This window comes from Homo sapiens, chromosome 2 (genome assembly GCF_000001405.40).
Source record: "Homo sapiens chromosome 2, GRCh38.p14 Primary Assembly".
Taxonomy (NCBI): domain Eukaryota; kingdom Metazoa; phylum Chordata; class Mammalia; order Primates; family Hominidae; genus Homo; species Homo sapiens.
Window position 1 is genome coordinate 126,616,574 of NC_000002.12, and position 25,150 is coordinate 126,641,723.

Below are 25,150 nucleotides of genomic sequence, written 5' to 3' on the forward strand. Positions count from 1 at the left end.
CTCAATGGAGCTGAGCCTGTCTCTTTTCAAGCATGATCATAGGAGGGAATTCAGAGGTTGCACTGACCCGGCCTTCATCTGCCATCGCCAGCGTCATGCTTGTCTGTCTCCTTTGAAGGCAGGCTCAGAGAGTGATTAGAACAGTCCCTGGAGAGGGTTAGGGGGAGGATCATTATTACAGGTTTTCTCAAATGTGGAGGGGAGGTGGGCAAGGCCGTGAGAGCCATCCATCCTGAGTCCCAAAGGCAAAAACGCCCTCAGGACTGGCAAGGTGATTCAGTTGGTGGTGCGGGGGTCTATTTGGGGTTTGTGTTTTTTTATTTCTTGAGAGGCTGAAGCATTTTCAAAATGAACTGTGATATTGCCCTAAAAATTTCCCCCTTGTTGACCACTTCCTTTTCTATAAAAAGAGATTAGAAAGGCATGGAGGGGCTGGTTTGTGCTTGTATGTGCCTGGGCAACTAGGAGGCAGTGTAGAATCAGCCCCTCACATCAACCAGGAGGCTGACAGGGCCCTCCAGAGCCAGGCGGCCAGGCCTCCCACCCAGTGCCCTCACCCTCAATCAGCCACCCTGTCGAAGGTCTGATTGTTGGGTGATCATCACCGCTGCAAGACAATGACAAGCCTTGTCAAAGGTGAGCTATGTCAGCACTAGCTTTCCGCCAGAGGATTTCATGTGAGGACTCAGAAAGTGGAGCCATTGCTATTTACCAGCTTAGTACATACATAATCTCATAATCCTCTCCGTGATTTTACAGAGTCAGTGTTTATATCCCAGCTCTTGTAGATAAAGGGCCTGAGACTCAGAAGATAGGAAACTACCCAAGATCTCCCTATTCCAAAATGGCAGGATTGGGATTTGAGCCCAGCCCCAAATAATTCCAAAACGCATGCTTTTCTGGCAAATTCTCCATCCATAGACGTCGATGTGGTCAGAGCTGTTTGGGGCCAGCATGAAATAAATCTCATTCGTGGTATTTTCTGCAAATTCCAGCTAAGTTTGAGAATTCACTGAAGTCTACATTCAGATCCCCCAAGGACAGAAAGGCAGATGAGGACTCATCGCAGCAAGTCCCACAGACGGGACTCCATTACCCCATGTGAGCACAGAGGCTGCTCTTCCACCTCTTCTGCATTGAGAGCCAGCAGGGATGTCCTGGATGGACAGCTCCTTACCATGCTGCTACCACTAGTCCAGGACAGCTTTGTAAGGATAGTGGGGACACAGGCTACTTCTTGAAAGAAAAGTAAAAACATTGTTTCTGCAACAACTAACAAAATGCCTACAACCACTGAATGCACCAGGCAACAGTGCCTGATACAAATCAGCACTCAAAATAGCTTTGGCTGGGCATGGTGGCTCACGCCTGTAATCCCAGCACTTTGGGAGGCCAAGGTGGGTGGATCACCTGAGGTCAGGAGTTTAAGACCAGCCTGAACAATATGGTGAAAACTCATCTCTGCTAAAAATACAAAAATTAACCGGGTGGTGGTGGGTGCCTGTAGTCCCAGTTACACAAGAGGCTGAGACGGGAGAGTTGCTTGAACTCCAGAGGCGGAGGTTGCAGTGAGCAGAGATTGCGCCATTGCACTCGAGCCTGGGTGACAGACTGAGACTCCATCTCAAAAAGAAAAAAAAAAATAGCTTCCATATGCCAGCAACTCTTCTAGGGGTTTCCTATAATTTTAATACCCACATGACCCTTCATGGTAAACATAATCACCTCCATTGAACCTATAATGAGATCGAAGCTCCAAGCCCATGTTCCACAGGGCCATGCACAGTCAATTCATTCCATTGTGTTCATCTACTGGGTGTGTAAACCTGAGTCGTGTACCGATGAAGGCCCCAAATGTAGAGAGAAAGGTCTTATTCTACTCCTCATAGAGCTGACAATCAGACCAAGGACAAAAGTAATACAACATGAAAGAAAAGCAGCAATGAGAGGTGATGAGTTGTCCTTGTCACACAGACTAGAGGCTCTCTTGGCAAGGCAATGCCTCCTCCAGAAAGCCCTCCCAGAGCCCCAGATAATATCAACCACTCTCTCTTCTGAGCATCTCTGCCCACCCTCTGGATTCTAGGCACATTTCTCTCTACATACATCATCTGTTTTGGAGGCAATTTGCTTACTTGCCTATTTCCCTAGTAGACTCTGGGCTCACTGTGGCAGGCATTGTGACTTAGGCTTTCTTAGCAAAAAGTTGGTGCCAGGAAAAAAAAAGTGTTTATTGTTACAGAATGTGAATATAAGAGCAGGTCTTCTGGGTCTGACATAGGCTGGGCATTTCATGCAGAGCAATTTCTGCAGCAGAGAACAGTGACAATGGTCAAAATACCATCCAGAGGAAGTCATATTCTCTGCTAGTCTCTCCTGTCACCCAGCTTTGCCTGTTTAAATGATAATTCACCATGGTGTGTGAATCCATTTTTTGTTAACCTTACAAAGAGTTCTAAAGTGATAGAGTAGAAAAGGGGGCACTAGACTGGGCCAAGAGTTCTGAGTTTGCATTTCAGTTCCGTCACTAACACCTTCTGACAGTGAGGAGGCCCCAGCACCTCTCTGAGCCTCAGCTTGCTCATCTGTAAAATGAGAGGGTTGAATTAGCTAAACCCCAACGCCCTTTCCAAAGCCCACATTCTGTTAATCAGAGAGGACAGATATGGAGAAGCCATTAGCACTCCACAAGCCAGCAAAGGGTGATACTAACCCCAGACATCAGGGAAAACAGGAGCTATTTGAATAATGACTTTGCAGATAGGCATTGGGGCATCAAAAACCTCCCTTGCCATTCTCCAAGTTATAATTCCACCTCATTGTCACTACCACCCTAATTCCTGCAGTAATTTCATTTAATTTTATGACCTGGCTCCTCCAGCCTTCCTAGTCAGATAAGCAGGTTCAACAGCACTGAGGATGCTGCCCGGCAGTGATTTGCAAGGTTGGGAACAGTGTATAAACCAGGCTGATCAACAATGTGGGTGGAGGCATTGATTTACCTCTGAAGATGAAAGTCAGATCTCCTTGCAAGCAAAACAAGCAGGACAGTGGAGGATGCTGGCTGGTGGGGAAGGGCCTGATAATGTGCCTACCAAAGGCATATGAATGGCTGGTAGGTTATCATCAAGGCAAAGAGATGAACCAGTGTAATCTGCTCATGAGTAGAAAGAAGGAGCCATGAACCAATTTCTCCCTGGAAGGGTCCTGCAATGGCCAAGTACAAGAGCAGGACAGCCGGGAGCTGTGGGCAGAGTCACTTGTTATTGTCATGTGTAAAAGACACTGGCACTGCTGTATTCAACTCCCTTGGGCAAGTCACTTCACCTGCCTGTGCCTTAGTGTCCCCAGGGGTGAAGTGGGTACAGAAATAACTATGTTCATGATTGTGAGTGTGGTATTCATGAGGAAGTCAGCAGTGACCCCGTCACAATGGCCATGGAGATGAGACTTTATCCTCTGTTCTTGGTAGCCCTTTAGCCCCAGAGTTTCAGAGCCAGATTCTAGAAGAGTGTTAAGCTGAGAGGGCCTCCTGATATAAACCCTGACACTTCCTTATCCAGTGTGTTCTGCTTGTCTGTGACCTTCTTGGGCAATCATTGAGTGTGTCTTATTTTGCCTTGTTTCTCCAGTTTAGCAAACTGCCTGACCAGGGACGACCCAGGGCAAACTTGAAGGGGGCATGGAGGCACCCATGAAATCTGGGAAATCACAGAAAAACTGCTTCCAAACAGGCCTGAGAGTTCAAAGAAGAAGCCTAGAGGGAAAAGGCCCCTTTTCTCTTATCTCCTCCTAACTAGCCCTGATGAGATGACGTGCCAGCCTGGAGCTGAGTTACCACTGAGTCAAGGTCAAACACACAGAAGGCTAACTCCATCTCACCAGAGGGCTGTGAAATGGAGGACAGAGGAAAGAGGAACTGCCTTCCTCCTTCCTCACAAGTGTAGCCGAGCCCTGGCCAGACTGGTGTGACTAGAGTCCAGTGCAGACTGGTTACTACATGGGGTATGGCTGGAGGGACCCTGGCTCCCTAAAGGCCCAAAACTCCACCAGGAATGGAGCTGTGGGTCCAGCAAGCAGTCACCAGCCCCTTGCATGCTGGACACTGTTCTGAGCACATTGCACACATTCACTCCTGTAAGCCCCACGACAGCTGGGAGGAGGTGGGAACCCAGTTATAGATGAGGATGGAGCCTTAGAGGTGAGAAACCTGCTGGGGAGCACCCAGCTAGCAAGCAGAGCGGAGGGACTTGACCTTGAAGCAGGGCTTCTCCACTGTGGCACTACTGACATTTGGGGCCAGATTGTCCCTCATTATGGGGCTGTCCTGTGCATTGTAGGATATTTGGCAGCATCCCTGGCCCCCACCCACTGGACATCAGTAACACCCCTCTCCCAGCTGTGACAACCAAAAGCATCTCCAGATATTGTCAAGGGTCCCCTGGAGAGGGTCAAATCAGCCCAGTGGAGAACTACTGTATCAGGGCAGCAGACACGGGCCAGGCAATGGCGATTTCCACATACAAATTAATTGCTTGCTGAGATGGAAACTAGAATTCGGGATGGGGCCACAGGGAGGGGCACTGAGCTCAATCTCATGGGTCATGGGGAGTAAATAGGTCTGAGGATCAGGAGTCAGCTGGGGAAGGACAGGGGGAGGGTGTCCCAAGCAGAGGGTCAAGGATGGGAGTGGTAGCTGGCAGCATGTCGGAACCAGCTGAGAGATTCTCATATACACAGTTGTCTAGAGGGTCCTGTAAACATACCCACTGGGTCAGAAGCTCCAGGGTAAGGTCCTAGGATCACCATCTTAACAGGTGCCCCACATAATTTGTGTGCAGCCAACTAGTGCTGAGGTCTGGGAATTATAGGACTTCAGTGTGGAGGATGCTTAAAGTGTGAGCAGAGGCTCCTGGAAGCCTCTGAGTGACACAGGATTTTCTTCTCAGTCATTTTGCAAGCCAGGGACCTCCAGCCAGTGACACCCTGCCTGGTCCTTGCCTGACCACATTACCTGCTGCAGGAGACTGCCCACCCACTCAGCCCACCTGAGCCACGTCTGGCTTATGCATGGGTTCATGAGTTCTTGTCCCACTCCCAAGAGGAATGAGGATACACTGACAATCACAGAGTGACCAAGGTGAGGAGTTACACTGAGTGATGAAACAGCTTTCAGTGGAGAGGGGTCACGGGGGTGGTCCCCTACCCAAAGGGGCAAAGTCGCCCTAATATGGCTGAGCCCAGGGCTTTTTATGGGCTCAGAATGGGGGAGGTGCAGGCCATAGGTAGTATTGGAAAAGGCAGCATTCGATTGGTTAAAAGGCATTATTCAGAAAGAGTCAATTAGGAAAGGGTGCACAATTAGGAAAGGAAAGAGTCAGTTAGGAAAGAAAAGAGTGAACTCTGGGTTGCAGGTTTCATCTGGAATCAGCAGTTCGGACTTTCAGCCTTCAAACTGTTTTTGGCTTGAAAATGGGATTTCACCAGGGACCCACTCCTACAGCCTAGGCATTTGGCTGCCTCCTGTCGCTATCACAAGGACTCCCTAGGTAGACTCTGGGCAGTGAGAGGCACTAGGTGTGTGGTTACCCCTGTGGAACAGGCTGCACCTTATGTGAAATATAGTCATGCCTGAGCTTCCTCACCTAACCAGATGCTATCACAGCCTTTACATCAGTGGATGGTAAAAAAGCATAGGTTTTGGAGTCACACGGAATTGAGTGTGAATCCACTATTGACAGACCATCACCGTTAGCCCCTTGAAGATGTTTCTTTTTATCTGTAATATGAGTACAAAACATCTACCTCCTAGGCATTTTAAGGCTGGAATTGTGTATTTGAAGCATTGTAATATGGTTGACATCAAAGGTTGCTGAACGAATCCAGAGCTAAGTAGCTGCTCAACAGACAGACCTCCCAAGTAAATGATGCTGCTGAGATGCATGTGGAGATTACTAGAGAGTCACCCAGAGTGCTCATTAAAACACAGAGATCGGTATTAGAACTGGGCCCCACCGCATGGAGTTTTTCCTCCCAAATAACTCCTAGCAGCCATGATTTCTAAATCTCTCCCTGGATCTGTTCGTGACTGGGGGCAAGGTAACAAATGATCCCCAAGCCATACCTCTGCCTTGACAGCCAGAGCCAGGTACCCAGCCAAGGCCCAGAACTCATTTCCAGGCAGGCTGGCCTGGCTTTTTCACAGCCTGAGAGCCTTTCTCTGAACCACAGCAACTGTACCACCACATGCCACTCACTTCTCAGGGCGCTGTAATTCAGTCACTCCCAATGGTTTCCTGAGTATGAGTCTTTTTTCCACCAACACTATTGAAAGCTGGGGCCAATGTCTGTAAGTGGACATTATCACTTACTCTCCTCACTTCTTGGGGACTGCATTTTAATCAGGAGCTATGCAATCCTTCCACACTGGGCCCTATGTCCTACAGTCACCAATCAGTGCCCCTGTATGGGCTGTTTTCTCCGCAATGAATCCCAAATCTGCTGGTTGTACTCAAAACCCACATTTTAAACATGCATTTTCTTCCTGGCCTTAAAAAAAAATTCAGCACCTTCCTCTACAAACAAAATCACAGCTATCACGTATAATACATGTTATTTTTTAGCTGAGCCTGCAATTTGTAAATAAGCCCATTGAAAATATGAAGAAAAATGCAGTATTTGAAGCAGCTTGGAAAATGATACTGCCAGGGTTGCTCTCCAATTTAAACCCATTTGGGTGACTAAGCAGCATAATTGAGGAGGTGGTCCGTTGCTTTTTCCAAACCCAGCAAATTCCTCTCCCCACAGTCATGATGGCAGAGGTTTTTCTCAACATGGAGAAATGACAGTAGAAGGAATTGATCCCTGGGCATAAAGGGTATGGGGGTCAGGGAAGAAGCAGCAGCACTAACACTCTCCAAGGGACACGCTGCGCCAGACACTGCATGAAGACCTTGAATACACATTAGGTGATGCTCACAGCAATAGCTCTCAACCTCCGTGATTATGCCTCCTGGGGCAAGGGCAACGCCTGCAGACATTTTTAGTTGTCACAATAAGGGAAGGAGAGGTGCCACTGGCATCTTGTGGGTAGAGAACAGGAATGCTGCTACATATCCTAGCCCCTCACAAGAAAGAATTATCCAGTCCAAAATGTCAATGGTGTCAAGATTGAGCAACCCTGGCTTTCAGTATAGTTGTTGATGAAAAGAGTCAAACTCTGTAAAATACCTGAAGAGATTTATTCTGAGCCAAATATGAGTGACTATGGCCCATGACACAGCCCTCAGGAGATCTGAAAACATGCCCAAGGTGGTCAGGGTGCAGCCTGGTTTTATACATTTTAGGGAGACATGAAACTTCAATCAAGTACATTTCAGAAATACATTGGTTCAGTCCAGAAAAGTGGGAAAAATTCAAAGTGGCAGCAGGAGAGGTAAGGAGGTGGGGGGCTTCCAGTTTATAGGTAGATATTTAAAAATTTTGGTTGACAATTGGTTATCTAAAGACCTGGAATCCATAGAAAGGAAATGTCTAGGTTAAGATAAGGAATTGTGGGGACCAAAGTTCTTATTATCCAGATAGAAAGAGGATAGATTGTAAATGTTTCTTAACAGACTTTTGGTCTGTGTTGATGTTAGTGCCAGAGGAGTAAAATGAAGCATGTCTGACCCCCACTTCCCATCATGGCCTGAGCCAGTATCCCGGGTTACATTTTAACAGGGCCCTGGCCAAGGAGAAAGCCCATTCTGATGGCAGGGCATTGAGAATTTTATTTGTGGTTTACATAGTTATCACCATCCTTATTTTCCAGATGAGGAAACCGAGACTCAGAGAGATGAAATCACTTCCGAAAGGTCAGTAAGTGAAGGAAGCAGGGTTCAAGTTGAAGTCTAGCTGACCTCACAGCTCCATAGTCAACTTTTAAAAGTCATCATTTTCCCTGTATCCAACATAAAGATGGTTGTGTGGCCTGTTTTTAGCACAATCTGAAGCTATGTAGTCAATCACACACACAAATGAAAGCAGAGATAAACAATATCCACATACGCATACAATATTTAAAGTTAAGAATCACTGATTTCACAGCTCTTTTCTTTTCACAGGAAAGTTAAGAAGCATTTCACAGTTATTAAATTGCCATGTAGCATTAGTAAAATCACTGAACGTCTCTAAACCTGTTTTCTCATTTAAATAATTCATACTGCAGTTATATTTATTGAGAATGACCTAATGTAGTCATCCTTATCTGAAATCTTTTTAGCTAATTAATTGATGTGATGATTTATTAGTCCAATCTAAAGTTCAATTTGCATGTCAGGAGGGGACCATGTGCATTTCAGGCACCATAACAAATGGCAAGAGACATTGTTGGGTGGCAGGTATCCACCTGCTTGTCCTAGAACTGCTGCATTGACCTTGGTATCAAGTGGAACCAGCCTGAGGACCAACTTGATGGACTGAGGAAGGCAGAACCCACCAAGACTCCCAGTTCATTACAAACTTTATACCTACACCATGATCTTTAGTGAGGTCACTGCTGCCTTGGGAGGTCTCTGCACCCTCTCTGGGATAACACAATATCACAGGCTGTTTTGCTTTGTGGATTCTTCTCCTTCTGATATGGAGACCACTATTACGAGGCCAGAGAGTTTGGGCTTTGGCCACAGAGGGCTCTTGAGGGCTTGCAATTGGTGGGCTAACATCATCACTTGTTTTATAATAAAATGATTTGAAACATGTTTAATGTAAATAGGTTTGCAGACAATATTTGCAAACAAGATTGTTTATGTAGAAAATCCTGGTGAAACCACAAAATAAAAACTATAATGAATTTACATATTGAATAAACTAATTTAGCAAGGCTACAAGATAAATGGTCTCACACAAAAATAATTTGATTTTCTGTAGTTAGCAACAATTAGAAAAGAACATTTAAAACAACTATACTAACAATAGCATTAAAGAGTATTTAGATACCTAGGAATAAAGTTAACGAAAGATGTTTAAGTCCTCTTCACTGAAAAACTACAAAACAGTCCTGAGAGATATTAAAGATTAAGTAAATGGAGAGAAATGCTATGTTCGTGGGTTGAAGGATTCAAAATATATAGTTTAATTCCCATTCAAATTTTGAAATCCCATCATTTTGAAATATGCCTGGAGCATTCTCTTCTCCCCTAACAAAGGCCCTCGCACAGAGGAAACCACTTTACCAGAGTCTTATCTGACACATGGGAAGGGCAATTAGACAACTCCAAGCCTCCACCAACCACCCTTTCTCACATAAATAGAATACAAAAAGGTAAGACACATTTCTGAAGGTCACAGCCCAAGGACTCAGGCCCACTAAAAATTACTGAGATTTAATGATAAAGATACTGAGATTTAATGATATATAATGCTTTCCCTCCCCATATCTTACGACCTCACCAACAAGGCTCCAGTGTAATTGCAATGAATTACAACCAAAAAACCTACAAGACACAAACTCTTTAAAGAGTTCTTAGGGAAACACAAAGACAAGAGAAGAGAAAGAATTAACAAGAAAACTGAAACCCTCTGACATCTATAACTGCAACAAACCATGTAGACTGAGTGAATCTGTGTATTAACTCACTATGCATTGGACATTTCTGTGACCAAGTGTGTGGGGGTTTATCACACACCAGGCAATTCTCCAATTCTCTGCAGACACTACCGGGGTGTCCCACAAGTAGTAGGTCCTCTGGTCACCACCACCATGGTGTCCCACAAGTAGTAGGTCCTTTGGTCACTCACGACTTCTGTCCAACTTGGCTACAAATCAGAGGTTCTCAGGACCCTTTTCTTAGGTTCAACCATTGGCTAGAATGGCTCACAGAACTCTGGGAAACACTTCACTAACGTTTAACAGCCAAATGGAAGAAATGCATAGGGCAAGATACGGTGGAAGGGGCATGGAACTTCTATGAGTTCTGCAGGTATGCCACCCTCCCAGTACCTCCACACATTCAGCAAACCAGAGACCTTCAAACCCCATTCTTTTGAGTTTTTATGTAGGCATGATTGACTAGAATAGCAGTCCCCAACCTTTTTGGCACAAGGGACTAGTTTCATGAAGATAATTTTTCCACAGACTGGGTGGGGGATGAGGCGGGGATGGTTTTGGGATGACTCAAGCATATTACATTTCTTGTCCACTTTATTTCTATTATTATTACATTGTAATATATAATGAAATAATTATATAACCCATCATAATGTAGAATCAGTGGGAGCTCAGCAACTAGATGATCCCATCTGGGAGTGATGGGAGACAGTGACAGATAATCAGGCATTAGATTCTCATAAGAAGTGTGCAACCTAGATCCCTCACATGCACAATTCACAATAGGGTTCATGCTCCTATGAGAACCTAATGCTGACATTGACCTGACAGGAGGCAGAGCTTAGGCGGTAATGCAAGCAATGGAGAGCAGCTATAAATACAGATGAAGCTTGCTCACCTACTACTCACCTCCTGCTGTGCAGCCCAGTTCCTAACAGGCCACAGACTAGTATTGGTCCATGGCTCATGGGTTGGAGACCCCTGGTCTCGATCATCGACCATTGGCAATCAACTCAACCTTCAGCCCCTCTCCTCTTCCTGGAAGGTGGAACTAAAGTTGCGACACTGTAATACATAGTTGGCAACCATCCCAAAGCTATCTGAGACACCCCCACCCCCCTCTAGCTACCAGTAATTTAATTAGCATACAAAAGACACTTATTACTTCAGGGTTTCCAAGAGCTTAAGAGCTGTGTGCCAGAAAATGGGAATGAATATCAAATATATCTTTTAATTATATCACAATATTACAAAGGTAGAACAAAGTCTTTTTCTTCTCATTTTTGATTAATCTAATAGTTCAAATTGTTACTGAGCCAAAGGACTTGCTGCCCTATGCACTAGAAACCAATACTATGACATGGTGTTTTTGAGAATACAAAGCTTTTTATAAAGTCAACCAACAAAGAGATAGGAGTCCAGCTCAAATCTGTCTCCCTGTGCTTTAAGGCAATCATATTACTAGAAAATGTTTAGTGCATGGATTCCGGGATTAGTAGGGAATTGGTGGAAGGAAAGAGGTCTGAAAAGTCCTTGAGCATGTGCAGTTATCTCTCTGTGCTACCTTATGAATCACATGTGCACATTCAAGGGGAGTTAGTATAAAACATTCTGTGGAAATTTGGGCTGTGACATTAGCATGCTCCTTCTGGCAGACTCCAGTTAGCCACATTTGTGCCAAACAATTTCAGCCACTTTTGATATCTGACAGGCTGAGGGAGTTTCCATGTTTTAGCAAGTTGTTTCTTTTCTTATCTGCCATCCTGTAAACTCAAGAATTTCTGTTAGTCACTGATTTCTTTAACTCTTTGGGGCGCAGTTTCAAAAGTAGTAATAGCAACAGGGTATTGGGTAATTATAGCTTAAGAATGAGTGAAATGAACAACAAAAATGTTATATGAAAAAAAGGGAGAAATTGAGAACGCTTCCATTATAAGGTAACTGCACTACTCATGAAGAAGTACATGGTTATTTGAAAGTAAGCTTAAATTGGTTGTAAATTGCAAACATTAGCTCAACAACTTGAAACAATATTAAAGACGTATAATTTATATGCTAAGAGAAGAGATGAATAGAATTATATGAAATCCTCAATTAAAACCAGAGAAGACAGAAAAAGAGTGAAAAACAAACAAAAAGAACAAGGGCAATGAAAACACTTACAAACATGGTAGATATTAATCTAACTATATCAATTATCACTTTAAATATGAATATCTCAAATACACAAAACAAGAAACTGTCACAGAGAATTTTTAAAAGACCCAATTACATGTTGTCTACAAGAAACCTATTTTAAATATAAAGACACATATACATTAAAAGCAATGAAATAGAAAAAGATATACCAAGATAACACTAATCAAAGGAAAGCTGGAATAGCCACATTAATTTTAGACAAGGCAAACTTCAGGGAAATTATCAGGAATAAAGAAGGGCGTTACATAGTGTTTAAGGGGTCACTTCTTTAAAAATATATAACAATTTTTAACACATATGTGTCTAACGACAAAGCATTAAAATATGTGAGGCAGGCCAGGTGTGGTGGCTCACGCCTGTAATCCCAGCACTTTGGGAGGCCAAGGTGGGTGGATCATGAGGTCAGGAGTTCAAGACCAGCCTGGCCAACATAGTGAAAACTCATCTCTACTAAAAATACAAAAATTAGCCAGACATGTTAGTGTGTGCCTGTAATCCCAGCTACTCAGGAGGCTGAGGCAGGAGAATTTCTTGAACCTGGGAAGTGGAGGCTGCAGTGAGCTGAGATTGTGCCATTGCACTCCAGCCCAGGTGATAGTGTGAGACTCTGTCAAAAAAAAAAAAAAAAAAAAAAAATATATATATATATATATGGCAAAGCTTGATAGAATTGCAAAGAGAAATGAATAAGTCCACTGCTATATTTGGAGACTTCAACATTCCTTCATCATTGACAGATCCAGCAGGCAGAAAATTGGTAAGGATATAGTTTAACTGAACCATGCTATAGATCTCCTGGTTCTATTAGGTTGGTGCAAAAATTACAAGTTTTTTTTTCCATTTAAAAGCAATGACAAAGCCGCAATTACTTTTGCACAAACTTAATACTTGCCATATATAAAGTATTTCATTCAACTACAAAAGGAAATATATTCTTTTGAAGTTCAAATTGAGCACTTAATATTGAAGATCACTTTTGGGGCCATAAATACCCTCTTACCAACTTTAGAAAATAGAAATCACACAATCTCTGCTCTCGGATCTCAGTGGAATTAAACTAGAAATCAATAACAGAAATATATATGGGAAATCCCAAAATAATTGAAGATGAAGCATATGCCTGAATAACACATAGGTCAAAGAAGAGGTTTCAAGATAAATTTAATATACTTTGAACAAAATCAAAGTGAAAATACTAATTATCAAAATTTATGGAATGTAGCAAAAGTAGTGCTTAGAAGGAAATTTATAGCATTAAAATGCATACATTAGAAAATAAGATTGATACAAAATTAATAATATAAGCTCACATCATAGAAAACTGGAAGAAAAAAAAAACTATAAACCTAAAACCAAGAAGAAAAACATTTAAGATAAGGCAGAAATCAGTGAAACTGATAAAAGAATAACAGTAGTGAAAATCAATGAAATCAAAACATGATTCTTTAAAAATATCAATAAAATTGATTAATAAATTGGTCAATTTGATAAGCCTTTACTCAGGCTAACCAAAAGAGAAAGAGAGAAGTTACAAATTAATAATATCAGAAATAAAAGGATTATCACTACTAATTTTATGAATATTAAAAGGAAAAGAAGAGAATATTATAAACACTTCTAAGTGATAACTTAGAAGAAATGGAAAACCACAAAACTCTAAGGAAAGAAATCTAATAAGGACTAAATAAATAGAGACATATTCCATGTTCATGGGTAGGAAGACTCAATATTGCTAAGATGTCAAATCTGATAACTTAGATTAAATGGAACAATAAAATATGGAGATGCTGTCTTTCAAGAAAAAAATAACAAATCTGAATTGGCCTATATCAAAGAAATTAAATCAATAATTAATGACTTTCCAAAACACAAAGCACTGAACCTAGATGGTTTTACTGTTGAGTTCCTCCAAACATTTGAAGAAGATGTAATATCAATTCTCTACAGTCTCATCCCAAAGAATAGTAGCAAAGGAAGCACTTCTTACCTTATTCTATAAGGTGAGTATTACTTTACTATCAAAATCAGATGAAGACATTACAAGAAAGGAAAAATACAGGCCAACATATTTTATGAACATAGATGCAAAAATCCTCAACAAAGTATTGCTAAATCAAATTTACAATATGTAAACAAAACTATACACCATAACCAATTGGAATTTATTATGGATATGCAAGGCTGATTCAACCATTTGAAAACTCAATTAATACAATTCAACACATCAACAGGCTAGGAAGAAAAACCATATGATCATATCAAAACATGCAGAAAAAGCATTTGACAAAATCTGGCACCAATTCATGTTAAAAACTTTCAGTAAACTAACAGCAGAGAGAAACTTCCTGAACCAGATGATAAATATCTATTTTTTAAAAACCCCCTACAGCTAACATCATATTCAATGGTAGGAAAATAGATGATTTACCCTTAAGATTAGTAACAAGGCAAAGATGTCTCCTCTTTCTACTCCTACTCAACATCATACTTGAAGTTCTTTTAATGCAATAAAACAAGAAAAGGGAAAGAAAGGTATACAGATTGAAAAGTAAACAAATAAAATTGTCTTTGCAGATTACATGATTATGTAGAAAATCTCAAAGAATGGAGAAAAAACTTTCTGGAACTGGGAAGTGAATATTGCATGTTTGCAAGATTCATTGTTAATATACAATAATCAAGTGCTTTCCTATATATCAGCAAGAAACTATTGGAATTTGAAGTTAGAAACACAATACCATTTATAATAACAACAAAAGATGAATACTTAGATATAAATATAATAAAATATGCACTAGATCAATATGAAGAAACCCACAAAACTGATTAAAGAAATCAAATAAGAACTAAATAAATGAAGAGCTATTCCATGTTTATGGAAAGGAAGACTCAATATTGCTAAGATGTCCATTCTTCCCAACTTGAACTATAGATGCAATGTAATCCCCCCAAAAATCCCAAGATGCTATTTTGTGGATGTCAACAAACTCTTTTTAAAGTTTATATCAAAACTCACAAAAGAAACAGAATAGCAAACACAATACTAAATATAACAAAGTTGGACAACTGACACTACCTTAACTTCAATAATTACCTTCAACATTACTTCAATAGCTACAGTAACCAGGACAGTGTCATACTGGCAAAAAAAAAAATGGACAAATAGAACAGAATAGAAAACAGATCAATAGAACAGAATAAAGAGCCCAGAAATAGACACAAATATAGTCAACTGATCTAGACAAAGGAAGAAAGGCAATACAATGGAGAAAAATATCACCTTTTCAAAAAATTTCACTAAAACAGCTGGACTGTCATATTAAAAAAAGAATGAACCTAGATACAAACCGTATGTCTTTCACAAAAATTTACTCAAAGTAGATCATACACTTAATGTAAAATGCAAAGCTATAAAATATCTAGAAGATAACATAGAATAAATTCTCAATGACCTTGGGTTTAGGAATGAGTTTTTAGACACAACATCAACATCACCATCCGTGAATAAAAATTACTCGTAAGTTGCACTTCACTAAAATTAAAAAATTCTGCTCTGGAAAAGACATCGTTAAGAGACTGAAAAGACAACAGTAGGGAAAAAATCTTAGCGAAACACATATCAAATGAAGGACTTGTATCCAAAATATACAAAGAGCTCTTAAACTCAATGATAAGAATACAAACAACCCAATTAAAAATAAGTAGATAATCTGTACAGGTACCTAGATGTCAAATAAGTATATCAAGAGTTGTTCAACATTATATGTGTTAAGGTATTGCAAACTACAGTAACTATGTGGTACCACTATACACCTATTAGAATTTCTTTAAAAAAAAAAATTGACAATTCCAAGTGCTGCAAGGGTATAAGGCATCCTAGCAGGAATACGAAATAGTACAGCCACATTAGAAAACAGTTTGGCAGTTTCCTACAAAGCTAAACAGTCTTCTCATACAATCTAGCAATTGTACTCAGAGCATTTACCAATTTAATTGGAAGGTTATATCCACAAAAAACCTACACATGAATGTTTATAGCAGCTTTAATCATAATTGCAAAAAATTGAAAACAAATAAAATGTATATCAATAGATGATATTGAATAAACAAACTTAATATATGTCCATACAATGAAATATTATTTAGTAATTTTTAAAAATGAGCTTTTCCTCTAAGCCACAAGAGGACATGAAAGAACCTTAAATGTATATTTCTATGCATAAGAAGCCAATCTGAAAAGACTACATTCTGTATGATTCCAACTGTATGACATTCTAGAAAAAAGCAAAACTATAGAAACAACAAAAAGAGATCTATGGTTTTCAAGGACTCAGGGAAGGAGGAGGATGAATAGGTGAAACATAGGGGATTTTCAGGGCAGTGGGACTATTTTTCGTGACATTGTAATGGCAGGTACATGATATTATGCACTTGTCAAAACCCATAGACTATATAATACAAGGGGTGACCCTTCATATTGCTATGGACTTATAGTTCATAATAATGCATCTATATTGGTTTATCATAACAAATGTATCACATGAATGTTGGTAAGTCAGAGACCTCATCTAAATGCTGAGGCACTTACCAGAGCCCATCCTCTTTGCTGAGTTGTGAACTTCATTTTTCTCCCCAGCCTCAAAAGATTGTCATCATCTCTTCTCAGCTTTCTCAGCCACCATTTGTTTATGAGAAAATGCCTCTGGAGACAAAGTGATACCAAATGTCAGAACTACTTTTCTGTGCTTCTCCTTTCTATAGACTTTTAGCCCTTCAAGTCTTCCTGCCACATTAGTTCTTCTATAACCTCAAACTAATTTTCTTAATATTGTGGTCAAGTGTTTATAAATGTTCTTGGCTGCATGGTTGATGCCCTGTCCAATCCTAAAAATAAATGGAAGTAGTATAAAGAGTGAGATCAGTAGCGAATAGTCAAAAGACCATGACAGGAAGAAAATATTTGCATATGTAACAGTTAAATTGTTATACACAATATACAAATAACTACAGTAAATCAATCAGAATATAGAGAATCAACAAAAAAGAGAAGTGTGCAAAGAACCTAAACAGGTCATTCACAAACAAAGCACAAATAGGCTATATATGAATAGATCTAGTAGGTATGCAGGCTTGCTTTTCACAGGAAGGGGAGCATCACACACCGGGGACTGTTGTGGGGTGGGGGGAGCGGGGAGGGATAGCATTAGGAGATATACCTAATGCTAAATGACGAGTTAATGGGTGCAGCACACCAACAGGGCATATGTATACATATGTAACAAAACCTGCACGTTGTGCACATGTACCCTAAAACTTAAAGTATAATAATAATAAAATAAAATAAAAATAAAAATAAAAAATAAAAAAATAAAATACAAATTAAGCTAGCTATAAGATGCTATTTTTCATACATTGGATTTTTAATATTTTACAGATTAATACAATACTCTATTGACATGCGATGGTGAAATAAGGACTTTCATATTCTATGGAAGTGGGAGTGAAAATTGCCAATTAGCAAATATCTTTCTGTATTTCAAATTTATTACCCTTTCACTCAGCAATTTGATTTTTCAGAATTTGTTATTCAGAAATTTTCATAAAAGTACTCAAAGATACACTAGCTAATAAAAAAAAACTGTTGAGAGCCCACTATTTGTCAGACATTGTTCTTAGTGCTTTACATGAACAAACTCATACAATTCTCACGATGACATAGAGATGATAGATGTATGCCAGTCTGAATGGTAGTTGAGGGAGGAAACTAAGGCTAGAATTGAAATAGACTGAATTGCTATAAACTATAGAAGAGTTTACTGTTGTCTCAAACACTCATTAGTAGAGGTAAAATTAAAAGAACAGGAGAGAGAGAGATTGAGAGAGAATGGCTGAATGTACCAGGCTTGGTTTTGGCGGGTAGAAACAGATCAGAAAGTGTTGCCCAGATGTATCAAGGGGCTGTGACATGGAACCAGGTGGAGACGGCCACAGGGCTGAGCTGGTCGTGTCCCTAAAATGAAATAACCATGGGAGAAGATTTAATTGCTTCCATACCAAGTATTTTTAATCACCTGCCACTTCCCTGTGCTCCACAGCGCCGACTGCTGTGGGGTCTGAAGAAAAAGTACAAAACGGAGTCTCTTTACCTAAGATCTAGACATCTTTATAGGAACACCGTGGACTCCGTTCCAGTCTCCCAATGGAGCCCTGCCGAGGCATCCAGGAAACATCTATAGCACTGTGTGGGATTTACTGTAAAGTTATTATCTCCACTGCTTGACGCTATTCTTCCTGAAGGCAATTCTGCATCTGATTGACCTCTGTGTCCTCCACACTTAGCACAGTGTCGGGCACACGTGGACTGTAGGTGAATGGCTGTTGAATACATAAATGATTGGAACCACAGATGGATGAATAGATGAGTGGGTAGGTGTATAGGGAGATAAACAATAGTTCATATTTAGTATTAACCCTTTTCTTATTATATGTAGATGAGAGGGTTGCACTCAATGATGTCTAAATATCTACTATTCTGCAAATATTTCTATATTCTGATCTAGCTTATTACCATCCTTCAAGATTCCAGTTTGCGAAATTTATTTTCACCCTTCAAGCTGCATCAATATAGAGAGAACTATGATTTAAAATGGTACTGTTTTTCTTTAACTGCATTTTCTCCTTTCCAAGCAGAAAAGCCTTTCATACCTATTGTTTCATGTTTCTGAGAAAACAAACACTAACAGCTTCAGGACTGAATATCAAAATATCTGTCCACTGTCATATTTATTCTTATACCAAAAGAAAATCTATTTCATGTTTTTTTTTATTGTTGCCATGCACAATAAAATTCTGATGTTTCAGATGGTCATCATTTCCAACAATTCTTGACAAAGTCAGACACAGCTGAGTCAAGGCATCAAGCTGGCATAGTAAGAGCCATCCAAGCTTCCAGGAGCATGGCCCAAGCTGGAGAAACAGTGGCTTCCTGCACATGCTCTTCCTATGAGGGAGAGCTGGAGGGCAAGAGGCTGAACCTAGCCATCTAGCACATTCCAAACTGTGCTGGGATACACTCAGGTCATGTTCACTCACATTCCCCCAGCCAAAGCAAATCCCAGAGGACTAGGGTAAGGCAGTGCACTGGGCTCATGCTGGGGAAGGGAAGAGTAAATATTTGTTGCACAACAGTACAAGCTATCCCAGGGGACCATTCAGCAGTGAACCCTCAAGACTCCTGCTGCTTCCTCACAGTCTGCTGGAACTCTGCCTGCTTTGTTTCCATTGGTGACTTTACCACTAATAAGTGAAGATACGAGGTAAAAACAGTCACCACTTATTGGGCACCTACTATTCCCCAGTCAATATATATATATATATATATATGGGGATTTACAGGGGTGAGGCACAGTGTCTAGCTTTATTATTTTTAATCCTCTCCATAAATCTGCAAGGTGAAAGTGATGCATGCATTACATAAAAGAAAGCTACAGATCAAGGAGAGAAACTAAGTAGTCCAGTGTCAGTAAGTGAGTCAATGCCTAAGACAGATGTCAAGTCTAGTTCTACCGGCCCATGTAATCAACCATGAGCTCCTTCCTGTTTCTTTTGATACTCAGCCTCATAGGTCATCCTATCTGATTTCTTTATCTATGCCAATAGAGACCACAATGAAATACTCCTATATACCAGACAGAATAACTTAATTTATAACACTCAAAATACCAAGTGTTTGGAAGAAGTAGAATATTGAGAAATTTATATACTGCTGGTGCCCATGGAAATTGGCACTTTGGGAAAAAGTTTACATTATCTAACAAAGTCGAATGCATACTCTATGAAGCAGCAAGTCCACTTTTTTGTGCATAGTGTGAAGTGTGTGTGTGTGTGTGTGTACATAATGTATAAGTGTCTGTGTATATTATGTACATTGTGTATGTGTCTATACATAGAGTATGTGTAGTATCTGTATATATTATGTATATAATGTGTATACATAATATGTATAGTATGCACATATATTATATATAGTATGTATATATAATGTATAGTGTGTGCATGTGTGTATATATCTGTGTAAATACATATCCAACAGAAATGTGTGTACCTGAACACCAGGGTACATGTACATGCACAAGAATTTTCATAGCAACATTACTTATAATTGCCCCAAACTGGATATAATCCAATGTCCATTGGTGGCAGAATAGATCAAATTAATTCTAATATATTTGTATATTAGGATACAATGAAAATGAATGAACTACAGCTACGGATAACAACAAAGTGAATTAATTTTATGGACATAAGTTGAGTGAGAAAAGCCAGACTCCAATAAGTAGACACTATATGATTCCACTTATGTAATGTTCAAAAAGCAAAGAAAACCATATTCTTCCTTAGGCGAAACTTGAAAAAGAAAAACGAAGGCCAGGCAAGGTGGCTCACGCCTGTAATCTCAGCAATTTGGGATGCCGAGGCGGGCGGATCACGAGGTCAGGAAATTGAGACTATCCTGGCCAACATGGTGAAACCCTGTCTATACTAAAAATACAAAAATTAGCTGGGTGTGGTGGCATGAGCCTGTAGTCTCAGCTACTCGGGAGGCTGAGGCAGAAGAATCACTTGAACCCTAGAGGTTGCAGTGAGCCAAGATCACGCCACTGCACTCCAGCCTGGCAACAGAGCGAGACTCTGTCAAATAAAAAAAAAAAAAGAAAAGGAAAGGAAACCAAATACAATAAAGTTAGCATAGCTGTTACCATTGTGTGGGGAAAAGGAAGGTAAGATTTGGAGATGGCATGAGAGGCTTCTGGGAGGCTGGACATGTCCTGTGTCCTGACTTGGACGGTGCTTCCATGGGGGCTGATGTTGTGATAATTCATTGAGCTGTATGTACACTATTGTTTTCTGCATGTTTTGTATGTATGTAAAGCTTCACAATTTTAAAAATATAGTCAAAGGAGAAAGAAAGAATGGGAGACGAATTGGAGGCAGTAACTTTAGGTGACTTTTTAAAGAAGTTTTGCTGCAATAGAGAACAAAAGAATTGGTAGTTGGGGAGGAAAATGGAAGGGGTTAAAGTGCAAGATGTGCACTGATGCAAGTGATCCAGGAGGCAGAGGAGTGAGACCCTTAAGAAAGAAGAGATGACATTGAATGCCCCTGCGGAAAGGTGGCCAGAGACGGAAGCAGGACTGTGCTTCTAGGCCTGTGGAATCATAGATTCTGTGGTGGAAGGAGGAAGTGGCCATATCTCAGTGGATTCTATTTTGAAAGTAATAAGATGAGAGAAGAGCTTCAGGGGTCTGGAGAAAAAAGAGAAGAGATGTGCAACAGCATTCCCAGAGAGAGGATCCAAGTGACCAGAAAATGTAACAGGCCACTGGGCAGAGTTTATATAAGTCCAGTGCTTATAAATTTAACACAACGTTGGCAGCACACACTGAGCTGCGAGGGTGAAAGTGCAGGGTAGGAGGTGAATGGTGTTCCATCGGGGCTGGGCTTTCTTCAGACAGCGAGTCACAAGGAGAGAAGGGCAAGGTCGCTAACGGGCAAGGAGGAGCGGAGGTTGAGGTTGCAGGGTGGGTCCCATGTGGACTTCAGAGTCTAACCGGGGTGAGGAAAGAACTGTGGACATGAGAGACAGGATAGGGTCAAAGTATCGAGGATTCCAACAAGCCTAGAGAAGTGTCAGAATCAGCTCCAGAGAGAGTGTTGAGAATGTGGGGGTGCAAATGGTCAGGGAGCTGGATGGTGCTACACTGGAGGCAGTGCAGCAGTAAGGTCGGCCTGCTGCCACCGCAGGGGGCCTATGAGACGGAGGAAATGGTCGGTGCTGGCGAACATGCCAAGGAACTGTGAAATCAGACTAAGGTTTATGTGGATCCTGAAAGGCAAACGTTGTGCTGGAGAGAAAAGCACGAAGCTGCAAGGTATCCCCAGGAAACAAGGGAGAATGACTGGGGGGCGGGAAGCAGGAATGGAATCTGATAAAGGGCATTTCAAACAACTGGGTGTTTGCAAGAAGAGGAAACGGAGACAGAACAGCCCTCCTCACCCAGGCATATTGCCCCTTGGTAGATCCCAGTGGTACTTAGGATGAGAAAAAACAACAAACAACAACAAACAGTCCCCACTTGAGTGGACTGAAGAGAGAGCAATGTCCTCAGGGAAAGCAGGGCTCCTGAAAGAGCATGAACATTAGGTCACATTTAATGAGAAGTCAGAGAACACAGAGAAAGTTTTTGACAAGACTGTGAATTCCAGGGCACCTGGTGGAAGGGTTTGGAGGAGTAGGAGTAATGGGAGATGGATTTCCATGAAGGGCCTTAAGAAGAGACTGGGAAACTTGGAACTTTGGGTGGTGACTCCAGTAAGCAGGGATATTGACAATGGTATTGGCTTGATGGTGTACTGGGAGAAGGTAGGTTATCATTTCTACTTATAGCCTCTGGAATTGCTTTTCACGTGCAATGGGGAAGCAGGGTCGGTTCTTTAAGGAGATCACAAAGCTGTGGGCATCCCCAATGCATCACTTAACCATGCCGTAGGCAGAGTTGAAGCTGGGAGGCCTATCTGAGTCATTTCTTTGTACTGTCCACGTGCCTTTTTTTGGAAAAAAGGTCATTCATTTAAATGAATTGCTGCTAAATTTCGTCTTACTAAATCAAGTCCATTTTCTCAGCCAGTTGAGATGTTTTTGATATCGTATGCTTTCCCTGTGGTTTACAAGTTTTCTTCAAGAATTAAAAAAATAATTCAAATAGTACAGAGAGCTTTTGTTTGAAAAGCAATCCTCTCCCACATACACCCTACCCACAGCCCTGCTCTCCAAAAGCCCTTTCACCATCTTTGATTATAGGTTTCCAACGGGTTACTTCATTTTTCTAGATAATATGCTTATTATCCTAGTTTTGGACTCACCAGCTTCAAACAATGTCTATTGGCTTTCATGCAGGTAATTCTTCATTTACCCAACCTAGATTCATTCTCCCCTACTCTGTGCCCAGGAGATGGGGGCAGACTGCAAGGGCTTCATCAGCAGAACATGCAGGTAGGTTAGGCCAGAGTGGGCCCCACCTGCCCCAACCTCCCTCTGTGCTTCTGCAGTGCTATGCTCCGATAAAGCAACAGGGGAGGGGAGGCCCCTCACCCAAGGCCCCCACCTGGCCCAGCTCCAGTAACAACATTCGTCTCCTGTCCCTTAAGACCTAAGGGTGGTGCTTGTGCTGGGATGAGAGGCCCTTAACCCAGCCCACAGCTCTGAAATGAGTTCCCCTCAAAATACTCTGTGCCTCGTTAACCTCTTTGAGTGTGCCCATCATCTTTGTCACTTCAGGATGCTGCTGACTCACCTCGCATACGAAGGATGGCAGTTCAACACTTTGACATCACTCTCCACATCATTTTTCATTGCTTTCTCCAAATACTGGACACTTTTATAATTACATTTGGTTCTCCCCTGAGTTGATTTTCTCTGCAACTTTAAACAATATGGTAAAGCACGTGTTCCTCTGTGATCCAATGTCATCTGCCTCTCAACCTCCCTGTGCAAAGTAGACCGTCAGCATCCTCTCCCTTCCCTCCACTTCTCACCTCCTCCTCCTACTTGCCACTGATAGGCCTGGACTTGCACAATTTCAATCTCACCAAAAATCACATTCAATTCAGTGACCCTGATTATCTTCAGTGTGTGTGTGTGTTTTTCTATAGGCTCATTCTAAACCGGAATACCAACGAAGTGACAACAAGTAATCGTATCCGATTTTGCCACTGCAGAGCCAAGTGGGGTGAGAGGCTTGTCTCCTGTTTTTGGGGTTCCACTTCTTGGCCCCTGTACTTCCCCAGGGAAAGTGCCCCCAGCCTGGGGCTGCAATGGATTAACGTTCCTCACACTCCATCAGTGGCCCAAAGTGATGCTGTACTTTAGTTATAGCTTCAGATTTGGCCCATGGCTTATTTGTACAGCTTTTTGTTTTCTGGGGTTTCGGCCAACATTTTTCCTTGTGGAAAAACAAAGTATGCATTCTCACCACGTTTTCAGGTGTCTCCAGCCATTCAATCACCCTGTTTCTCCTGTGGAGCCTCCTTTTCATTTTTTTCTGCAGCGTTGTCCCTCCAGAAGTTTGCCATTCTCCAGAACTAAAATGAAACCCTGTGGGTCCCTCCACCGCCCTCCAGGCACACCACTGTGGCCCGATCCCGGGGCTCTTCTCCTTGCCATTCTCCCTGCTCTAATAGATTTTCTTTTCCAACAGCTTTCTTCTGTGTAAAAAACTTTTTCAGTCTTTAAATCTCCAAAGATGTCTTTATTTTCTCTCACAGTCAATTGATCTTTTAGCCAAGTATAAGATTTAAGGTTCAAAGACATCTCCACCTGAACTTTGAAAGCACTGATCTGTTGTCTGCTAGCTTCTGCATTATTGATGTGAGTTCTAAGGCCAGTGTGTGACTTTATTTGCTGTAGAAGCCTCTCTCTCTCTCTACCCACGTCATTTGTGAAGCTTTTAAAACCTTTCTCTTTAAAATATTTGTTCTGTAATTATATTATGTATATGTGTGTTGTGTGTGTGTATATATAGATAGATAGATACAGATATAGATAGATGTAGTCTTTAAATTCAGCCATTTCAGTCTGAAGACTATCTTTCATTAGCTCTGAGATATTTTCTTCTGTTTCTTCTCTTCATTCTTGTTTGTCTTCTTCATATATATACACATCACATATATAGTTATACCTATAGATATATATACTTAGGTATATAGAATGATATGTATATATAGTTATATATCTGCAGTTATATATATATAACTCTCTCCCTTCATTTTTTCTGTTCTCTCTTTGGGAAGTTCATATTACTTGGAGGTCCTTATATTATCTATCATTTTTTCTATAGTGTTTTATCTTGTTTTTCTCTTAGTCTAGAAGATTTTCTTTAGCTTTAACTTCCAATTTTTTTAAACTTTTATTTTTATTTTTGAGACATCATGGCAGAATGCAAAGTGGGAGCAGGCACGTCACATGGCAAAAGCAGGAGCGAAGCCGGGCGTGATGGCTCAAGCCTGTAATTCCAGTACTTTCTGAGGCCGAGGTGAGCAGAATACTTGAAGTCAGGAGCTCAAGACCGGCCTGGCCAAAATGAGGAAATCCCATCTCTACCGAAAACACAAAAAATTAGCCAGGCATGGTGGCACACATCTGTAATCCCAGCTACTCAGGAGGTTAAGGCAGGAGAATTGCTTGAACCTGGCAGGCAGAGGTTGCAGTGAGCTGAGTTCGTGCCACTGCACTCCAGCCTGGGTGATAAAGCGAGACTCTGTCTCAAAAATAAATAAATAAAATAAAGCTGGAGCAAGAGAGAG

General features: G+C 41.1%; 1 long non-coding RNA gene across 2 annotated transcripts in view; it reads right to left on the reverse strand.

Annotated features, from left to right (window-relative positions):
• Nucleotides 1–17,782, reverse strand: part of LOC105373602 (uncharacterized) — a 98,601-nt gene extending 80,819 nt beyond the window's left edge. For both annotated transcript variants that reach the window (XR_001739693.1, XR_001739694.1), the window contains exons 1-2: nucleotides 17,687–17,782; nucleotides 16,377–16,490 (exon numbers count right to left, since the gene is read on the reverse strand). This is a non-coding gene — a long non-coding RNA (uncharacterized LOC105373602). The remainder of the gene's footprint in view (nucleotides 1–16,376; nucleotides 16,491–17,686) is intronic.
• Nucleotides 17,783–25,150: the final 7,368 nt, after the last annotated feature.